Consider the following 20,284-nt stretch of genomic DNA (forward strand, 5'->3'; position numbering starts at 1 on the left):
CAGGCTCTCTTAGCCATCACTGTGCCTAACACTGGGCTAGCACATAATAGATGCTCAATAAATATTAGCTGTGTGAATAAATGAATTAAAATAATGAACATAAACCACTATAATGTGAAAAATGCTGTGATAGTGAGGCAAGGTGAGGCAGAACATGGCTAACTTGTCTAACACGTCTTGCTGAGGGAGGTAGAGAGAGAGAGGCAAAAGAGACAACCATTAAGAGAGAATATTTGCATTGAGTCTTAAGGGGTAAGTAGGAGTTTCTGAGTCAACACAGTTGGGAAAAGGTATGAAGATGTCAGAACATGTGGTATATGTATTCAGAGAACTGGAAGTGCTTGTGGTCTGCATGGCTGGGCAGAACAGCAGGAGATAAGGCCAGAGATGTGGGTAGAAACTGAACCACCAGGGAGGTTGGCCAGTTTGCTAAGCATACTGGAATTCATCCCATCGAACACTGAGGAGTGAGCCAGAAAAGGAAAGGTTTCTAACCTAAGACTCATGGATGGACCCCCTCAGAGGGGGTTTCAGACATTCATTTATCCCTAAAACTCTATGCACAATTGCCATATTTGTGTTTTCTTGCAAAGAGGGCCCATGGTTTCTATTAGATTCTCAGAAAGATCAGTGACCCCAAAATAGGTTAAGAACAACCACCAGCCAGGCACAGTGGCTCACGCCTGTAATCCCAGAACTTTGGGAGGCAGAGGTGGGCAGATCGTTTGAGCTCAGGAATTCAAGACCAGCCTGGGCAACATAGTGAAACCCACCTCTACAAAAAATACAAAAATGAGCCATGTGTGGTGGCACACACCTGTAGTCCTAGCTACTCAGGAGGCTGAGGTGGGAGGACCATTTGAGCCCAGGAGGTAGAGGCTGCAGTGAGCCGTGATCATGCCACCACCACCCTCCTTGGGCATCTTAATCAGAAAATCCCACCCCCACCCCAATCTGTGACTTTCATAGTACTCATAACAAAATATAAATGTATTGTTTATTTATTTGCTTACTTGTTTATTGTCTGTCCTCTCCACTATAAGACAAGCTCTGTGAGGTCTAGGACTTTTTCTTATTCACTGCTCTATTTCCAGTGCCTAGCACACATGGCGTGGAACTTATAGCAGCTCAATAAATCCTTGCTGACAATAAATCTTATTGTAGGTATTTTTTTCATTGTGGTAAAATACACATAACATAAAATTTACCTTCATAACCATCAAGTATCCACTTCAGTGGCATTAAATACATTCATACTGTTGTGCTACCATCTCCACCACCCATCCACAGAACTCCCTTCATCTCACAAAATGGAAACTCTGTACTGTTTAAACAATACATATTAAAACAATAACTCCCCAATCTCCCACCCCCGCCCTACCCCAGTTGCCCCTGGTAACCACCATTCTACTTTCTGTCTCTATGAATCTGACTAACTCTAGGTACCTATTATAAATGGAATCACATAGTATTTGTTCTTTCATCACTGGCTTATTTCACTTTGCATAATGTCCTCAAGGTTCGTCTATGTTTTTTTTTTTTTTTTTTTTTTTGAGATGGAGTCTCACTCTGTCGCCCAGGCTGGAGTGCAGTGGCGCGGTCTTGGCTCACTGTAAGCTCTGCCTCCTGGGTTCACGCCATTCTCCTGCCTCAGCCTCTTGAGTAGCTGGGACTACAGGCACCTGCCACCACGCCCAGCTAATATTTTGTATTTTTAGTACAGACGGGGTTTCAACGTGTTAGCCAGGATGGTCTCGATCTCCTGACTTCGTGATCCGCCCACCTCTGCCTCCCAAAGTGCTGGGATTACAGGCATAAGCCACCGCGTCCGGCATCCATGTTAAAGCATGTGTCCAAATTTCCTTCCTTTTTAAGGCTGAATAATATTCCACTGTATGTATATACCACATTTTGCTTATCTATTCACCTGTTGATGGACAATTGGGTTGCTTTCACCTTTTGGCTATTGTGGATAATGCTGCTATGAACATGGGTGCATAGGGATTTTTAGTCCTTTTTGAAAGCAAGGTAATCACAGAATTGGTGGGCGGATGGACAGATACATGGTTACATGGATGGATGATAAATGAATGGATGGGTAGGTAGACGGATGGATGGATCGATGGGTAGATGAATAATAGATGGATAGATAAATGAAAGCACTCCGAACTGAGAATTAGGAGAGCTGTTTCCTGTCCTGGATGTGATACTTTTCACATGTATGACACACCAGGCATCAGAGATACTGTGAGGTAACAGTGATCCCATTGTAACAATGGCAGTAGTAGTGAGTTAAGAGGAGTTTCAAAATATTTATAAAGATGAGTAACTCTGTGATAATTCATGATCACAGTTGGCATGTGTCAGTAAAAGGATTGTGTACTAGAACTTAAGGTATTGCTGACTAAGGAGAATGGGGTTTCCCTGTGTGATAACCCTGGGAAAGAAGAGAGTGACTCATGTTGGGTAAAACCACATTGAGTACCAAATATAGAACAACTGGAACATTAGTCAAAAGAACATAAACAGTATCAATGAAAATTCAGGAGCTTGCACCACAGAGGATACTGGCAGTGAATGAGTACAAATGCCAAAGAAGCTTGTATAAATGAAGAGTGCAGAGAGAGGAGATCTTGAGGATATTGAGCTCTGTGCTGAACTGGCCCACAGGATTTGCTCAAACATAGTCTCACCATCCATGGCAACTATAAGAACCAATCTCAACAGAAAAAGGAAAGAAAACATAAAGCTTATATAGAAAGAAATACAAATGGCACACAAACATATTGAAATATACCAAATCTCTCTCTAATAAGATAAATGCAATCAAAACTACAGTGAGATACTATTTTTTACTTACTAGACTGGAAAATATCATAAACAAATTGATGACACATTACGTTGTGAGAGGAAACATGTACTCTCACACATTCACTGTGGGGAGCATCAATTGGTACCACCTGTAACAGTAATTTGAGAACATCTATCAAAATTATATCAAGAGAATGAGAAGATAAGGCACAAAGTGGGAGAAAATATTTGCAAAATATGTACCTGACAAATGACTATTATCCAAAATATGCAAAAAAACCTCTTAAAACTTAACAATAAGAAAATTAACAACCTAATTTAAAAATGAGCAAAAATCTGAATGTCTAGACACCTCACCAAAGAAGATATATAGATGGCAAATAAACATATGGGGAGATGCTCGATGTTATGTAATTAGAGAATTACAAATTAAAACAAAAATGAGATGCCACTATACACCTATTAGAATGGCCCAAATCTAAAACTTGACAACACCAAATGTTGACAAGGATGTAGAACAACAGGAACTCTCATTCACTGTGAGAATGCAAGATGGTACAGCTACTTTGAATAAAAGTGTGGCATTTCCTTCCAAAGCTAAACACAGTCTTTCTATGCATACAATCCAGCAATCGTGCTCCTTAGTAAATGAGTTAAAAACTTATGTCCACACAAAAACCTGTACATAAATATTTATAGCAGCATTATTCATAATTGCCAAAACTTGAAGCAACCAAAATGCAAAATGTCCTTCAGCAGGTGAGTGGATAAATATACTATGGTATATCCATACAACAGAATATCATTCAGTGCTAAAAAGAAATGGCCTATCAAGCCACGAAAAAACATGGAAGAACCTTAAATGCATATTACTAGATGAAAAAAGCCAACTGGAAAAGGCTACCTACTACATCATTCCAATTATATGACATTCTGGAAAATACAAAACTACAGAGGCAGTAACAAGATCAGTGGTTGCTAGGGGCTAAGTGGGGAGGATGGGGTGAATAGACAGAACACAGAGGATGTTTAGGGAAGAAAAGCTACATTGTGCATGATTCTATAATGATGAATGCATGTCACTGTACGTTTGTCAAAACTCATAAAATGTACAACAGCAAGAGTGAACCCTAATCTAAACTATGGACTTTGGGTGATAACGAAGTGTAAATGTAGATTTATCAATTGTCAAAGGTACCACGCTAATGTTGGATGATAGTGGGAGAGGCAGGGCATGGGGTTGGCAGGGGTATATGGGAACTCTTTTTACTTTCCACTCAATCTTGCTCTGAACCTAAAACTGCTCTAAAAGAATAAAGTTCATTTTTAAAAAATTATACATTCACATATCCTTTGACCTAACTATTTTACTTCTAAGAATGTATGCTACAGGCTGGACATGGTGGCTCATGCCTGTAATCCCAGCAGTTTGGGAAGCCAAGGTGGGTGGATCTCCTGAGGTCAGGAGTTTGAGATCAGCCTGGCCAACATGTTGAAACCCCATCTCTACTAAAAATACAAAAATTAGCCCGCTGTGGTGATGTGTGCCTGTAGTCCCAGCTATGTCAGAGGCTGAGGCAGGAGAATCACTTGAACCTGGGAGGTGGAGGTTGCCCTGAGCCAAGATTGCGCCACTGCATTCTAGCCTGGGTGACAAGAGCAAAACTCCATCTCAAAAAAAAAAAAAAAAAAAGGAATTTATGCTATAGATTGGCTCATGTAAGGGCAAAATGACCTACACTCGAAGTTATTTATTATGGCACTATTTGTAATTGAAAAAGATTAGAAACAATATAAGTATCCATCCACGAAGCACTAGTATATATTACAATATATCCACTTAATTGAATAATACTATCCAGCTATTTTTAAAAAGGAAAACGCTTGTGTATTGATATGGATTGATCTCAAAGATAGTTTGTTGGATTCAAAAAGTAAAGTGTGGCCAGGCGCAGTGGCTCACGCCTGCAATCCCAGCACTTTGGGAGGCTGAGGTGGGCCAATCACCTGAGGACAGGAGTTCGAGACCAGCCTAGCTAATATGGTGAAACCCCATCTCTACTAAAAATACAAAAATTAGCCAGGTGTGGCAGTATGCGCCTGTAGTCCCAGCTACTTGGGAGGCTGAGGCAGGAGAATCGCTTGAACCCAGGAGGCAGAGGTTGCAGTGAGCTGAGATTGCGCCACTGCACTCTGGCCTGGGTGACAGAGCATGACTCCATCTCAAAAAAAAAAAAAAAGTTAAGTGTGCAAAGCAACATATAGTATGCTAACATTAGTGTAGAACATGAGGAGGTAGAGGAAGAATATAGGTACATATTTGCTTATATGTACATTTAAAAATCTCCTGAATACACAAGAAATTGACAAAATTGATTGCTTTCAGGGAAAAAATTTGGATGACTGAGAGGCTTTCTCTCTCTATATGCCTATGTACCTTATGAACCATGTGAATGTATTATTTACTGCATCAATAGATGTTAGGAGGAACGGAGGGGAAAAATGATAAAAAGGAAAAGAAGAAGAACAAACACGACTCTAGGATCACTGGCTATCCAAGCAGTAAGGGACCCTAGCAATCTTCTAGCTTGACTCCATAATACATTCACTGACTCCACAAATACATCTTGAGTGACTCATATATGCCTGACACTTCCAGGTGCTATAGATAGCAAGTTGCAAAGGTATAGGGGTAAACAATCTAATGGAGAAAGACCTTACAGTTTATCAGTAAGAAACTGAAGCCCAGAGAAAGAACAGGCCTTGGCCAAGATAACCAGAGACTTGGTGGGAGAGCTAGGGCTGAAACCCAGGTCTGCAGTCTGTTTGGTTTTATTACCTATTCTGGGCTTAAAGTACAGCAAAGGAAATGGACTTCATAATGCAGTCAATGTTTATGAGCATAATGATAACTGAACCACAAAACTGGCTTTCCTCTCCTACATCTACTTTCTAATCATCATAGTCACAGCCAATGGAAAGACCTTTCAGTACTAATTAACACTATTTCATCCTCTACCTACAGAAACTATTATGTAGGAGTCATTATAAATAAATACGCATGCACACACATCTTTCTGAATGATGGTTCATCTGTCCCTGCTGAGACACGAAAAATGGTAAGACAAAGCATTAAGGCAGATACTCAGAGAATGATCTTCTGTTTGGGAATAGGGAAAAGAACCGAATCCACTGTCAACTGTCCCTGATCCCTGGGATTTTCTAAGGGTCTCAGTCAAACTCCTCAACAGGGTTTTTCCAAGTTTGGGAAATCTTACCAGGAAGTAAGAAAAGAGGAGTGTCATTCTCATTACCTTGAATGACAAAGAGCAACAATTAACCGCCTGGGGTGTAGCCTAATGTATCCAATTAACTTTGATTTCAGTATTATATAACACACATGAAAATGGAACCATATACACACAAACACATATATAAACACTCCTATAAATATATGCCCACTTAGACATGTACACAATTATCAACTCCAAAACACAGAATAAAAGTCTGAGATGAAAAGCCATCAGTTCTAAAGCCATGATTATCCAAATATGAAATCATAAAATCTCTGTCTTTGGAGTGATTCTATATTGGAAAAGGGGCTGCCGATTGAACTCCAGCTTCAGTTTGGCTCTGATGGGTAGGGGTAAAGAGGAATAGATCCTTACTGAGATATCAATTGCTGATGGGAGAGAGAAGATGATTCAGGGTTGTGCTTGAAAAGAGCCAAGAAGTCAAATTGAGATTTTTTTATATGGGCTTAGGCTGTGAGTCCCAGCACAGGGCCTTTTTTTCCCCCTTTTTTCTTAGAGATAGGGTATGGCTCTGTCACCCAGGCTGGAGTGCAGTGGCAGAATCATAGCTCACTGCAGGCTCAAACTCCCAGGTTCAAGTGATCCTCCCACCTCAGCCCCCCAAGTAGCTGGGACTGCAGGTGTGTGCCACCATGCCCACCTAATTTTTTTATGTTTTACTTTTTGTAGAGACAGTCTTGCTATGTTGCCCAGTCTGGTTTTGAACTCATGGCCTCAAGCAATCCTCCTGCCTTGGCCTCCCAAAGTGCTGGAATACAGGCATGAGCCACTGCGCTCAGCCAGGCCTCATTTTTAATGGAAGACCACTTGCAAGGCCCATTTTCTGTGCTTTCCAAACAGAAGTCATCCTGGGTCTCAATTTAATCTCTTGTTTTGACTCATCCTGAGTCACTCACTGCTTGCTTCCCACTCCTAGTCCTTGAGAAAGCACCTGGTCTGCAATGGCTTCCTTCAGTGCAAAGTATACTCCAAAGTCATTGTGCCATGTGGAAAGAGTATGGGTTCTATGGGGCAAAGGCCTCTTTATACTGCAACTGTTATTAACATTGTGATTACCCTCATACATGCCTGATATGGGAGAACTGCTTGTACTTCTTGAGCACAGGTAGCTGCTGGTGAGGGTCCTTGAGGGCCAGTTCCTTTAATACCTGAGTCAGGCATACATCAGGTTTTGGATTTCTACAACCTCCAAGAATAACAGACTCTTCACACTGAAAAGGGTTAAGAGCATTCAACCAATCCCCTCATTCTGCAGTGAGGAAACTGAGACCCAAGGAGTAAGAGTGACTTGTCCACATTTATGCCCTGGTCTCTGAGTTCCTAATCCAATGCTCTGCCATCTCTAAAAACATTGTTCATCACGCCTGTAATCCTAGCACTTTGGGAGGCCGAGCTGGGCAGATCACTTGAGCCCAGGAGTTCGAGACCAGCCTGGGCAACATAGTGAGACCTCATCTCTATTTTATCAAAAATAAAACAAAACATTGTTTAAAAAAAAAAACTCCTACAATTTCTTCTAAATCTTAACCTACATCTACCCTGTGACTCAGCCTTTCCACTCCTAAGTATTTACTCAGGAAAAATGAAAACATATATCCACAAAAGACTTGTACACCAATGTTCATAGCAGTTTTATTTCAAGTAGCCAGAAACTAGATACAACCCAAATGTTCATTAGCAGGTAAGTGGACAAACAAAATGTAGTGTATCAACTCAATGGAATACTACTCATCAATTAAAAAACAGAACAAGCTACTGATGCATACAATGTGGATGAATCTCGTAGATACTGAATTGAGAAAATAAGTCAAACATAAAAGAGTACACACTGTATTATTCCATTTATATGCAGCTCTATAACAGGCAAAACAACTTAGTCTATGGTGATAGAAAACAGAGTAGTTGTGGGAGGCAGGAGAGGGATGATTGGCTGCAAAGGGGTATGAGAGAACTTTCTAGTGTTCTGTCAATGTTCTACATCTTGATTGAGATGGTGGTTATGTGGGTATATTTGTCAAAACTCACCAGACTGGGTGTGGTGGTTCATGCCTGTAATCCCAGTACTGTGGGACGTTGAGGCAGGTGGATCACCTGACCTCAGGAGTTCAAGACCAGCCTGGGCAACACGGAGAAACCCCAGCTCTACAAAAAAATAAAAAAAAGTAGCCAGGCATGGTGGTGTGTGCCTTTGGTCCCAGCTATTTGGGAAGCCGAGGTGGGAGAATCGATTGAGCCCGGGAGACCAAGGCTGCAGTGAGCCAAGATCACACCACTGCACTCCAACCTGGGTGACAGAGGGAGACCCTGTCTCAAACAACAACAACAAAACCCACAAAACTATATATTGAGGAAAACATTCCTGTATATTGATAACTGCCTCATTTTTTTTTCCAGTGGCCACTAGTATTCCATGGTATATATGTGCAATAGTTGATTGTGACATTTACCTACATATGGGCATTCAGGTTGTCTCCAGGTATTTTGTTTTGTTTTGTTTTGTTTTGAGACAGAGTCTCCCTCTGTTGCCCAGGCTGGAGTGCAGTGGCATGAGTAAGGCTCACTGCAGCCTGGACCTCCTGGGCTCAAATGATCTTCCCACCTCTGCCTCCCCAGTAGCTGAGACTACAGGCACATGCCACCAGGCCCAGCTAATTTTTAAATTTTTGGTAGAGATGAGTCTATGTTGCCCACGTCTATGTTGCCCAGGCTGGTCTCAAACTCCTCGGCTCAAGCAATCCTCTAACTTGGCCTCCCCAGGTGTTCTTTGAGAAGAATGACAACTCTGTTGGTGAAAATACATGTGAACTAAATTGCAGTGAACTGAACTGAACCAAACTGAAACGTGGACAGTATCAGGTTGGCAAATATTTAAAATAATTCTTTAAAAATCACACAAAAAGATGCTAGCATCACTAATCATTAGGGAAATGTGAATCATAACCACAATTAGATACCTTTTTACACCCACTAGGATGGCTATTTAAAAAAAAAACCCACAGAAAACAACAAGTGTTAGTGAGCATGTGGAAAAGTTAGAACTCTTGTATGCTGCTGGTGAGATTGTAAAATGGTGCAACCACTCTGGAAAACAGTATGGCAGTTCCTTGAAAAATTAAAAATAGAACTACTATAGTATCCAGCAATTCTACTTCTGGGTATATATACTCAAAAGAATTGAAAGCAGGAACTCAAGCAGATGTTTGTATACCCATGTTCAAGATAGCATTATTCACAATAGCCAAGAGGTGGAAATAATCCAAATGTCCATTGACAGGTGAACGGCTAAACAAATGTGGTATATACATACAATAGAATATTAGCCTTAAAAAGGAAGGAAATTCAGATACTACAACATGGATGAACCTTAAGGATATTAGGCCCAGTGAAATAAGCCAGACACAAAAAGACAATTTTTTTTTTTTTTTTGAGATGGAATCTCACTCTGTTGCCAGGCTGGAGTGCAGTGGCAAGGTCTTGGCTCACTGCAACCTCCACTTCCCGGGTTCAAGTGATTCTCCTGCCTCAGCCTCCCGAGTAGCTGGGATTACAGGCACCCACCACCACACCCAGCTAATTTTTTGTATTTTTAGTGGAGATGGGGTTTCAACATGTTGGCCAGGCTGGTCTCAAACTCCTGACCTCGTGATCTGCCTACCTCAGCCTCCCAAAGCGCTGGGATTACAGGCATGAGCCACTGCACCCAGCCTAAAAAAAAAAAAGACAAATTGGTATGATTCCACTTATATAAGATACCTAGAACAGGCAAATTCATAGAGACAGAAAGTCAAATAGTGGTTACCAGGGACTGAAGGGAGGGGAGAACAGAGAGTTATTGCTTAATGGGTACAGAGTCTCAATTTAGAATGATGGAAAAGTTCTGTAGATAGATACTGATGATGATTGCACAACAATGTGAATGTACTTAATACCACTGAATTTTAAAATGGTTAGAATAGTAAATTTTATCTTATATATATTCTACCACAATAAAAAAATTCCATCAAAATGAGTGTCATCTGGGACAGTCACCCCACAGGGCAGTTTGATGACATATATCAGTCTTAAAAATAATCAAGCCCTTTGATTAACATTCTGTATTAGGAATTTCTCATAAGAAAATAGATGAGTGTTAGAGGGACATTCATCTCAGCAATATCTACAATAATACCTCTAGCTGCCCTAAACGTCCCAAAATACAGAATTTATTAAGTAAATATAAATATATCAATATGCTAGAATAATTTGTGGTCATTTAAAAATATGTTGTAGATCTACAAAATTCAATGCACAGTGCAATCCAATTTTGCAAATATGTGATACTTATTATTAATGTATGTAATATATAGCTATATTATATTTTATATATTTGTTTCTTTGTTTTTTGAGACAGAGTCTTGCTCTGTTTCCCAGGCTGGAGTGCAATAGCGCAATCTCGGCTCACAGCAACCTCTGCCTTCCGGGTTCAAGCTATTCTCATGTCTCAGCCCCCGAGTAGGTGGGATTACAGGCACCCACCACCGTGCCTGGCTAATTTTTGTATTTTTAATAGAGAGATGGGGTTTCGCCATGTTGGTCAGGTTGGTCTCGAACTCCTGATCTCAGGTGATCCACTTGCCTCGGCCTCCCAAAGTGCTGGGATTACAGGCATGAGCCACTGTGCCCGGCCTTTTATTTTATATATTTTAAAGTCTGAAAGAACATATATTCCAAATGTTAACAGTGACAATTTCTAAAATATGGTTTTAAGAATAAGACTTTCAGCCAGGCATGGTGGCTCACACCTGTAATCCTAGCACTTTGGGAGGCCCAAGGCAGGAGAATTGTTTGAGGCCAGTTGTTCAAGACCAGCCTGGAACATAGCAAGACCCCATAAAATTTTTTAAAATAATAAAACTTTTTTATTTTTGGCTTATCTATATTGCCTCCTCGGGTTTTTTCCCAAATAAAATAATATATTTCAGGCATAATTAGAAAAAAACAAGTGAATTTGGGCAGAACTCATATCTAACCATTCTTTATAATGCTGGATGTCAAAGAGGCTATCTGTGAAACAAGAGGTGACTCTACTGGCAAGTTTTGCTTTGGTTTGTTTTTTTCTTTTTTTTCTTTCTTTTTTTTTCATTCAACAAGAGGGTAACTTGACATTTGGCTTACCAGTTCAAGGCTGCGATTTTTATAATGCATTATACAGAGATGTGCACCTCCATAGTACAGGTGTAGATGGGAGATGACAGTAGCAGGTGATTTTGTATTCTGAGTTTAACGCGTTTAGCAGTATCATCTTCTTTTTTTTAGAGAGAGAGATGGGGTCTCACTCTGTCACACCCAGGTTGGAGTGCAGTGGCAGGATAGTAGCTCACTGCAGCCTCGAGCTCACCTGTAATCCCAGCTACTTGAGGGTTGCTCAAGTAATCCTCCCATCTCAGCCTCCTGAGTAGCTGGGATTACAGGTGTGTACACCGCTTCCAGCATTATCTTTGAAGAACCAAGAAAGGCTTTACAGAGGAAGCAACAGTAAAATGCCCATTTAATATATAAAGACTTTCTGACATGACAGAAAGAATGCATGGGCAAAGGCAGGGGAACCTGAATGGTCCAGTTTGGATGGATATTTACTATATATTCATACAACTCAATAAACAGTTATTGGACATCTAAGTGCCACACATGCTCCTCTAGGCACTATAGGTACAGCAGTGAAGAAAACAGTCCCTATTCTGATTCTAATTGTGAAAGATAGGTTTTAAAAAGCAAGCAAATAAGAACATGATATGTCCAGCAATACTAAGTGTTAGGAAGGAAAATAAAGCAGAATAAGGAGATAAAGAGGGCCAGGAAGAAGAAAGGTGACCAAGGAGGGTCTTTCCTGATGGTGTCAAAGGAAAGAAGAATTAATTGAGCCACATGGATTTCTGGCAGAAAGGCTTCCTTGATAAAAGGGCAAGTACAAAGGCCCCTGAGGGGGAAGCATGAAGGGAATGAGAATGAAGGTTGGAGAGACAGACCTAGGACTGTGTGATTAAAGTCCGTGGATGCCAATTAATCTAGCCATAGCAATTCTTCCAGGAATATAAAGGCCAGAACACTGGACTAGGAATCAAGATTTCTGGAATTAAGTCCTGAGTCTGCTAGTAACTTGCTTTGTGTCCTTGGATGAGTCACTTCAAGTCTCTGGGACTCAGTTTCCCCATGCATCAAGTGCCAGCAATCATCTTTACTTATCTATCTTCAGGTGAGGCTCAAAGGAAGGTGGAAGATGTGGAAGAGTTTAGAATGTGTGCCGTTCTCTTCAAGGGGGAAGGAGTATGACTGTTATGCCCATAGAAGGGCTGGGAGAACAAGGGGCCCTCACCGTGTGGAAGGAAGCACTCTAAAACGAAGGTATTAAACAAGGGAGTTGGCTATCCTAAAACTGGGAAAAAAAGAGGTATCTTGGGTACCCTGAAAATCACTTTGGAGCCCCCTCCCAAGGACAGGCAGTATGAGAGGGACTGTCTTTAGAAACCTCCTTCCAAAAAAATGCCTACATGACCTGAAGGTGGCTTGAAGCGCTCTCAATTTGCCACTTTGTGTGTGTGTGTGTGTGTGTGTGTGTGTGTGGGTGGGTGTGTGGGTGTTAAGGGACAGTCAGAGCCAGGACAAGTCCAAAGTTGTGAGGGAAGGAAACAAAGTATACAGGACAGTGGAGCAGGTCCAGGTAAGAGGGTGAAGTTCCGGACTTTGCACCAAACCTTCTCTCCTTTAGACCAAAGCAGTGGTTCTCTGAGAGACCATTGTTAGAAGAAGAATAAAAGAGCTATCATTAATCAATTCCTTGCTAGCATTTATACAGCATTGCAGGAAGTGCTTTGCACACATTATCTCCTTTAATCCTCACAATACCCCTATGACATAGGTGCTGTCATCCTCAGTTTGTTGATAAGGAAACTGAGATTTAGAGAGATTAAGTAACTCGCCCAATATCGCACAGCTAATGAAGGACATAACTAGATTTTGAACCCATTGCTCATAAATGCACATTAAAAATATGTGTTGGCCAGGTGTGGTGGCTCATGCCTATAATCCCAGCACTTTGGGAGGCTGAGGTGGGTGGATCACTTGAGGTTAGGAGGTTGAGGCAGCAGTGAGTGGTGTTCACACTCTAGCCTGGGCTACAAAGTGAGACATGTGTGTGTGTGTGTGTGTGTGTATGTATATGTGTATATTTTTTACATATATACATATATATTTACATATGTGTATATATTTACATATATTTTTTGAGACAGGGTGTCACTCTGTACATATACATATACACATACATATACACACATATGTGTATATATATGCCCAGAGAGGGTGTCCTTGGGGAAAGAAAGAATAAAGAAACATCTGAGAAAGAACTCAAAACTCTGGCTTCCAGTCCTTGTTTCACCTGACTCACTGTGTCACCCTAACAAGTCCCCTCCCCTCTCTGCTTCTCAGCAACCTGCCTCCACCATCTTCCTAATTCCTCAGCCCATTGGCCTTTAAGCTTCTGGGGTTCCTGCATCATGCTACTGGGGCCTCTCACCACATCTCCAGCTGTGTCAGACTCAGGTTCTGGATGGAACCTGAAGCGTTGACAGCCTGTGGGTGGAGGAACTGAGAGGAGACTCCGGGGAGTTCTCTAGATTTCTGACACTTTAGATCTTTCTCTGTGATCCTTTGCAAGTCCCATAACTTGAGCCTTATCGACTAGTGAGTTGGTACTTTGAGAAGTCGAGAAGCCGCACACTCCCCTCTCTGGAGATACACAATTTAGGCAATAACCTAAGTCATGCCAACACACCTCTGCTGCAAAAAACGCTTAAGGGAGCAGAGTAGCTAACACGGTTATTGCAGTTTCCTGACTATCCATGTGTAACACTATACACGGATACTCAGCTACCTCACAGAGGAGCTCAGAATCAGCTCACCACCCCAAGGAAGCCAGCTGGTCTGCACCTCCAAAATCTGCTTGCCTCAGTCACAACTCGCTCAGCATCTTTTGAAGACCAGGAAATTAGAGAGTACTTTGAACATAATCCCTGGAAAAGCCGCTAAACATGGCATAACTCATCCCCTACCTTTCACAAGTGGGACAGGGAGGCCCAGGGAGGCCATGTGACTCAGCTGGAATCAGAACTCAGGCCTTCTGACCCCATGCTGTTTCTTTGACTCTTGCACGCATTTCATCCCTTAGCCAGTTTCTGGACCCCATGGAGTATTCCTTTAGAATGCTTCTTCTAGGCCAGGCCACATCATCCCTCCCTGGATTACTGCAACAGTCTCTTCTGGTCTCCCTCCTCCAAGTCTCTCCTTCCTTCACTCCATCCGGCATAATGAGCCATGTCACTCTCTGACCCAAAATTGTCAGGGGCTCCCCACATCTACTGAAGAAAACCCAAAGGCCCCAGCCTGATATTCAAGGTCCTCCACTACCTGGTGCCAACCTGTTTCTGGCTTCCCATCCCCCCACCTCCTCTCCTCACACATCCTTAGTCCAGCTCAGCTGGACTGGTTGCCCCAGGATCTCCCTTCTCCTGAATTTCATCAGTGCTGTTTCTTCCAATGAGTTTGCGGGACTACCTTGCCCACTGCCCCATCTGCCACCTTTTCCTGTCCGAATCCTACTTGGCTTGGTTCAAATGCCCTCTCACCCGTTAAACTTCCTCACACTCCACTCCCAATGGAAGAAATTGCTCCCTTCTCTGGAACCTCAAAGCACTATTCTGAACCTATTATGGGTGGATCTATATTAGGCCTTAGTATTTATGTACCTGTTTCCTCACCTAGCAGGATGCATTAGCAAAATACATAAACAACTGGTCCAAATGCTTCCCATAAGCCCAGTATGGTGCCTTTTGCTCACTGATTCATTCTTTCTTTCAGCAACAATTTCTTGAACAGAGGCTGGATGTGTTGCCTCACACCTGTAATCTCAGAGTTTTGGGAGGCCACGGCAGCAGAATTGCCTGAGGACAGGAGTTTAAGACCAGTCTGAGCAAGATAGCAAGACCCCATCTCTCCAAAAACTTTTAAAAATTAGCCAGACATGGTGGTGCACACTTGCAGTCTCAGCTACTTGGGAGGCTGAGGCAGGAGGATCACTTGAGCCCAGTAATTCAAGACTACAGTGAGCTATGCTCATGCCGCTGCACTTTGGCCTGGGCAACAGAACAAGACCCTGTCTCTAAAAAATAAAAATAATAATTATTGAAGAAAGTTTTGGAGTCTGATAGACCTAAGTATGAGTCTAAGCTCTATCACTTGTTAGTAGTGTAACTTTGAACAAATTAACCATTCTAAGACTTAGTTTTCTCCTCTGTAAAACAGGGGTCACAATATCTATTTCACAAATTTATTGTAATGACTAATGATATAACATATGCATTGTGCTAAGCATATACCATGTTATCTCATTAGTATGTAATAGTATGAATAGTATTAACTACTAATATTGGCTTATTAATTGGATAATATAATTATCTCATTAGCATGTAATAGTATTAATAGTATTAACTATTACATGTGGGCTTATTAACTGGATAACATAACAATCCAATTAATAAGCCAATATTACTAATAAATAATCATGCTCCTACTATGTGCCTGGAATTTTGAAGGGGCAAACTGGAAGAGCCAAACAGAAGGCACAACATAAGGAGCACAGAGGCAAGTTGCAGCACCATTGTACCCTGAAAACAGCTGGTGCTTGATAAGTTATTTGCCAAATGAGAGGGAACCTGTGGTGGGAAGCAGAGCCCCGGGATTCTCTGCCACTGTCATGACCTGTGACCTTGAGTAAGCCTCACCTCTTTCCTGGGCTCAGTGTCCTCAGATGATCCACTCATCTGCCCCAGTTCCATAATTCCAAGATATGGGAAGTAACACTGGGCCTTTGGATGATGTTCCTTCATTCCTCCAACTCAGGCAGGAGCATGTTTTTACCTGCTCAATTCAGGAGTTTGGCCTACAGAGGCTGGTACCACCCTCTGAAGAGGTCACACCTGTCTCTGAAGCAAGAAACACTAATCACTGTACAAGGTCTTGCCCTTTCATCCAGGCTGGAGTACAGTGATGCCATCATAACTCACTGCAGTTTCTAACTCCTGGGCTCAAGTGATCCTTCTGTCTCAGCCCCCTGAGTGCTGGGATTACAAGTGTGAGCCACTGTGCCTGGCCTGGTTTTTGTGTTCCTGGAATCCCAGCCTCACTGGCAGGTTGACTGAAGGGTGGTCAGCTGGCAGTGTGGGGGATGAGGCTCACAGGTGAGTGCCGTGGTGAGGTCCTCAGCAGTGCCTGCAGGCCTGTGGGCCACCTCCTCTCGGGAGCTGCTTCTCTGCCTCATCTTACATTGCAGAGGGAGCTGAGGTCTGTGGGGTAACAGTCACACTGAGACATGGCTCACAGAGAGACGACTTCTGCAGGTGCTGAGTGACATCTAACCTTCCCACTCCACCTGCTCTCATCCTGGGCTCTGAGTTTTCAGAAAACCAAGGTGTTTGGCAGACGATGATGCCTACATTACACTGCTGACTTTTGCCTGCATTTGTTATAATTAATGACTCATTGAAATGCCTCTCACTTTCGTACAGCTGGGTCCAAGTGTCAAACTGGAGGTGAAGTGGGAGAAGGACTAGAGGGATGCTGGCTTTGGAGTAGCCTCAGAATTGGGACTAAGGCTTCACTTCTCCTTGCTGTATTCCCTCCTCTTCCTCCTCTCTGCACTAGTGGTACAGGCTTTGGTACAGGGAGTTGAGCGCCAGCTTGGCCTTTTACCAGCCGAGGGATTTCGGTCAAGTAACTTAACCCTTTTGAGTCTCAGTGCTTTTGTCGGTAAAATGGGGATAGCAATAGGGTCATTGTGAAGATTGAAGCTGTACCCCTTGTCACAAGACATAGTTCATATATTCTTCTTTGTGTCTGTCTCCTGCTCTGTGAGGTCAGGGCCCCACCTCAAGACTCCATCTTTGAGTCTAGATAAGGTGTCAATAATAAGAAAGATAAAAGTGAATCATTTTATTGAGCATTAAATATGTGCTTGTCAGTGTGCTGAAACATTTTCCATATGCTCTCTCATTTATCTTAGATGTTATCATCTCCATTTTGCAAATGAGGTCCTCAGAAGTTAGACAATGTATTGTGAGGTTACCTAGATAATGAGAGGGTGAGCCAGAATTGCAGCCAAGTGTGCCCAACTGTGAGGCCCCTGCTGAGTCTACTGGGTGATAAGTGTCCAGGAAGAAGCTTGCTGCTCTACCAGCAATGGTTGTGTTCCCACTTTGTGCTTTTAGAAATGGTGGTGAGTAATAGAAAATGTCATCCCTGGGCCTGGCAGATATAGCAGGGGATGAAACTTAGGATGAAGTAAGGTTGACATGCAACTATCCAGGGCTTATTGTCCCCAGTGAAACAGACAATAGATGGAGGCCCAGAGAGCTTCAGGAGCCTGGTTAGAGTCAGAATTGGCACCAGGATCCTTCTTAAGAGACCTGCTGGTCAAATTCTGCCAAATTTGACAGGTGCGGAGACAGTTTCAGAGAGGGAAATGACTTGCCTAAGGCCAGAGGAACCGGCTCTTGAACACAGGCCTCCGACTTCCACCCAACACATTCTTCCTGTTGCCCCAGATTGAGGACAGTGTTGAGGCAGTTCCCTGTGAAGGGCTCTGGGGAAGGTAGGCTGGGTGGGTGTCTTGCAGCTTCTTACCCCATGGCTCCTCTCTGAAGCCAGTCTGGGATTTGAGGTCTAGAGGATGAGGCAGTTCCAGTAACCTGGGCTCTGGTTCCAATCCAAAGCTGACATGCATGGCAGGCACTAAGCCAGCCTCTATTATATCAAATTTGATCTCCACTGTAGAGGTGATACTCAGAGGACATAAAGGATTTGCCTAAGGTCACTCAGCATGTCAGGGGTTGAGCTGGGGCTCAGATCCACCAGAGGTCAACCTCTTATTGACTTCAGCTTTAGAGGAAGGGTCAGGAGCGCTTTGTCTCTTTCAGCTTTCCATCTTCCCTCTTCACTGCCCCCATGCCTAGACATCAGTTCCCCAGGGTAGCCTGAGGCCAGCTCAATAGTTTCATTTTCTGGCCCCTCTCTTTACCTGGTAACTTTTCAGCTGTTACCCCTGGGCCTGGATTCACCCCCTCCAGCAGCTCCTTCCCCCACTTCAAAGCATCTCCAATTCTGCTTTCTCCAGCAAATCCTTCCCCATTCAGATGTCTGATTGTAATAGCCTGAATAATGGCCACTCAAGGATATCAAGTCCTAATCCCTGGTACCTGTAAATGCTACTGTATTTTGAAAAAGAATCTTTGCAAATATGGTTAAACTGAGAATCTTTTTTTTCTTTTTTTTTTGTCACATGGAGTCTCATTCTGTTGCCCAGGCTGGAGTGCAATGGCACGATCTCGGCTGACTGCAACCTCCACCTCCCGGGTTCAAGTGATTCTCCTGCCTCAGCTTCCAGAGTACCTGGATTCCAGGCACCTGCCACCATGCCCGGCTAACTTTTGTATTTTTAGTAGAGATGGGGTTTCGCCATGCTGGCCAGGCTAGTCTCAAACTCCCGACCTCAGGTGATCCGCCCACCTTGGCCTCCCAAAATGCTGGGATTACAGGTGTAAGCCACCATGCCCGGCCTAAACTAAGAATCTTGAGATGAGGAGAGATCATCCTGGATTATCTAGATGGGCCCTAAATGCCATCAAAACTGGCTTTATAAAGGAGAGGCAGAGGGAGGGAGACAGACACAGAGAAGATGGTGATGTGAAGATAAGAGGCAAATTGTGACTCCACTCATATGAGGTACCAGGAATGGTCAAATTCAGAGAGGCAGAAAGTAGAACAGTGGTTTCCAGGGGCTGGGAGGAGGGGGAATGGGAAGTAAGCGTTTAACAGTACAGAGTTTCAGTTGGGGAAGTTTTGGAGATGGATGATGGTGGTGGTTGCTCAACATTGTGAGTGTACTTAATGCTACTGAACAGTACACTTAAAAATGGTTATTATGGTAACCTTTATGTTATGTTTACCCACCAGCCCCCACAGAGGCAAAGATCGGAGTGATATGGTACAAGCCAAGGCATGCTGGCAGCCACTAGAAGCTGGCAAGGAAGGATTGTCCCCCAGAACCTCAGTAGTGTGGTTCTGCTAACACCTTGCTTTCAGCCCAGTGAAACTGATTTCATACTTTTGCCTTCCAGAACTATAAGAGAATAAATTTCTATTGTCTTATGCCGCTAAGTTGATGGTAATATGTTACAGCAGCCACACGAAACAAATATAGCTGTGTACTACCTAACAACGTTTCTGTCAATGATGGACCATACATGCAACAGTGATCTCATAAGATTATAATGGAGCTGAAAAATTCCTGACATTGTAGCTGTTGTAGTATGGCAGCACGACACATTTCTCACATGTTTGCAGTGATGATGGTGGTGTAAACAAACCTATTGTACTGCCAGACGTATAAAAGTATTAGAAAAATGTGGAACCAGCCCAAATGCCCATCAACCAACGAGTGTATAAAGAAATTGTGGTATATATATATATATATGATGGAATACTACTCAGCCATAAAAAGGAAGAAATTAATGGCATTCACAGCAACCTGGATGGAATTGGAGACTATTATTCTAAGTGAAGTAACTCAGGAATGGAAAACCAAACATTGTATGTTCTCACTCATAAGTGGGAGCTAAGCTATGAGAATGCAAAGGCATAAGAAAGATACAATGGACTTTGGGGACACAGGGGAAAGACGGGGAGAGGGGTGAGCAATAAAATACTACAAATTGGGTTCAGTGTATACAGCTCGGGTGATGGGTGTACCAAAATCTCACAAATCACCAATAAAAAACATACTCGTGTAACCAAATACCACCTATTCTTCAAAAAACCATGGAAATAAAAAATAAAAAAGTGCATTTGCACTTTAAAAAAGTATAACATATACAATTATCTATAGTATATAACACTTGATAATGATAACCAATGACTATGTTACTGGTTTATGTATTTACTATGCTTTTTCATTGTTTTATAGTATACTCCACTTATAAAAAAACAGTTAACTGTAAAACAGCCTCAGGTAGGTCTTTCAGAAGGTATTTCAGAAGAAGGCATTGTTACCGCAGGAGATGACAGCTCCTTGT

The 20,284-nt window shown here is 42.5% G+C and overlaps 1 long non-coding RNA gene across 1 annotated transcript in view; it reads left to right on the forward strand.

The window, feature by feature from the left end:
- LINC02558 (long intergenic non-protein coding RNA 2558) overlaps positions 1-19,255 on the forward strand; it is a 66,377-nt gene extending 47,122 nt beyond the window's left edge. The window contains exon 5 of the long non-coding RNA NR_149128.1: positions 19,167-19,255. This is a non-coding gene — a long non-coding RNA (long intergenic non-protein coding RNA 2558). The remainder of the gene's footprint in view (positions 1-19,166) is intronic.

The sequence above is a fragment of the Homo sapiens genome, chromosome 22, assembly GCF_000001405.40.
Source record: "Homo sapiens chromosome 22, GRCh38.p14 Primary Assembly".
Lineage (NCBI taxonomy): Eukaryota > Metazoa > Chordata > Mammalia > Primates > Hominidae > Homo > Homo sapiens.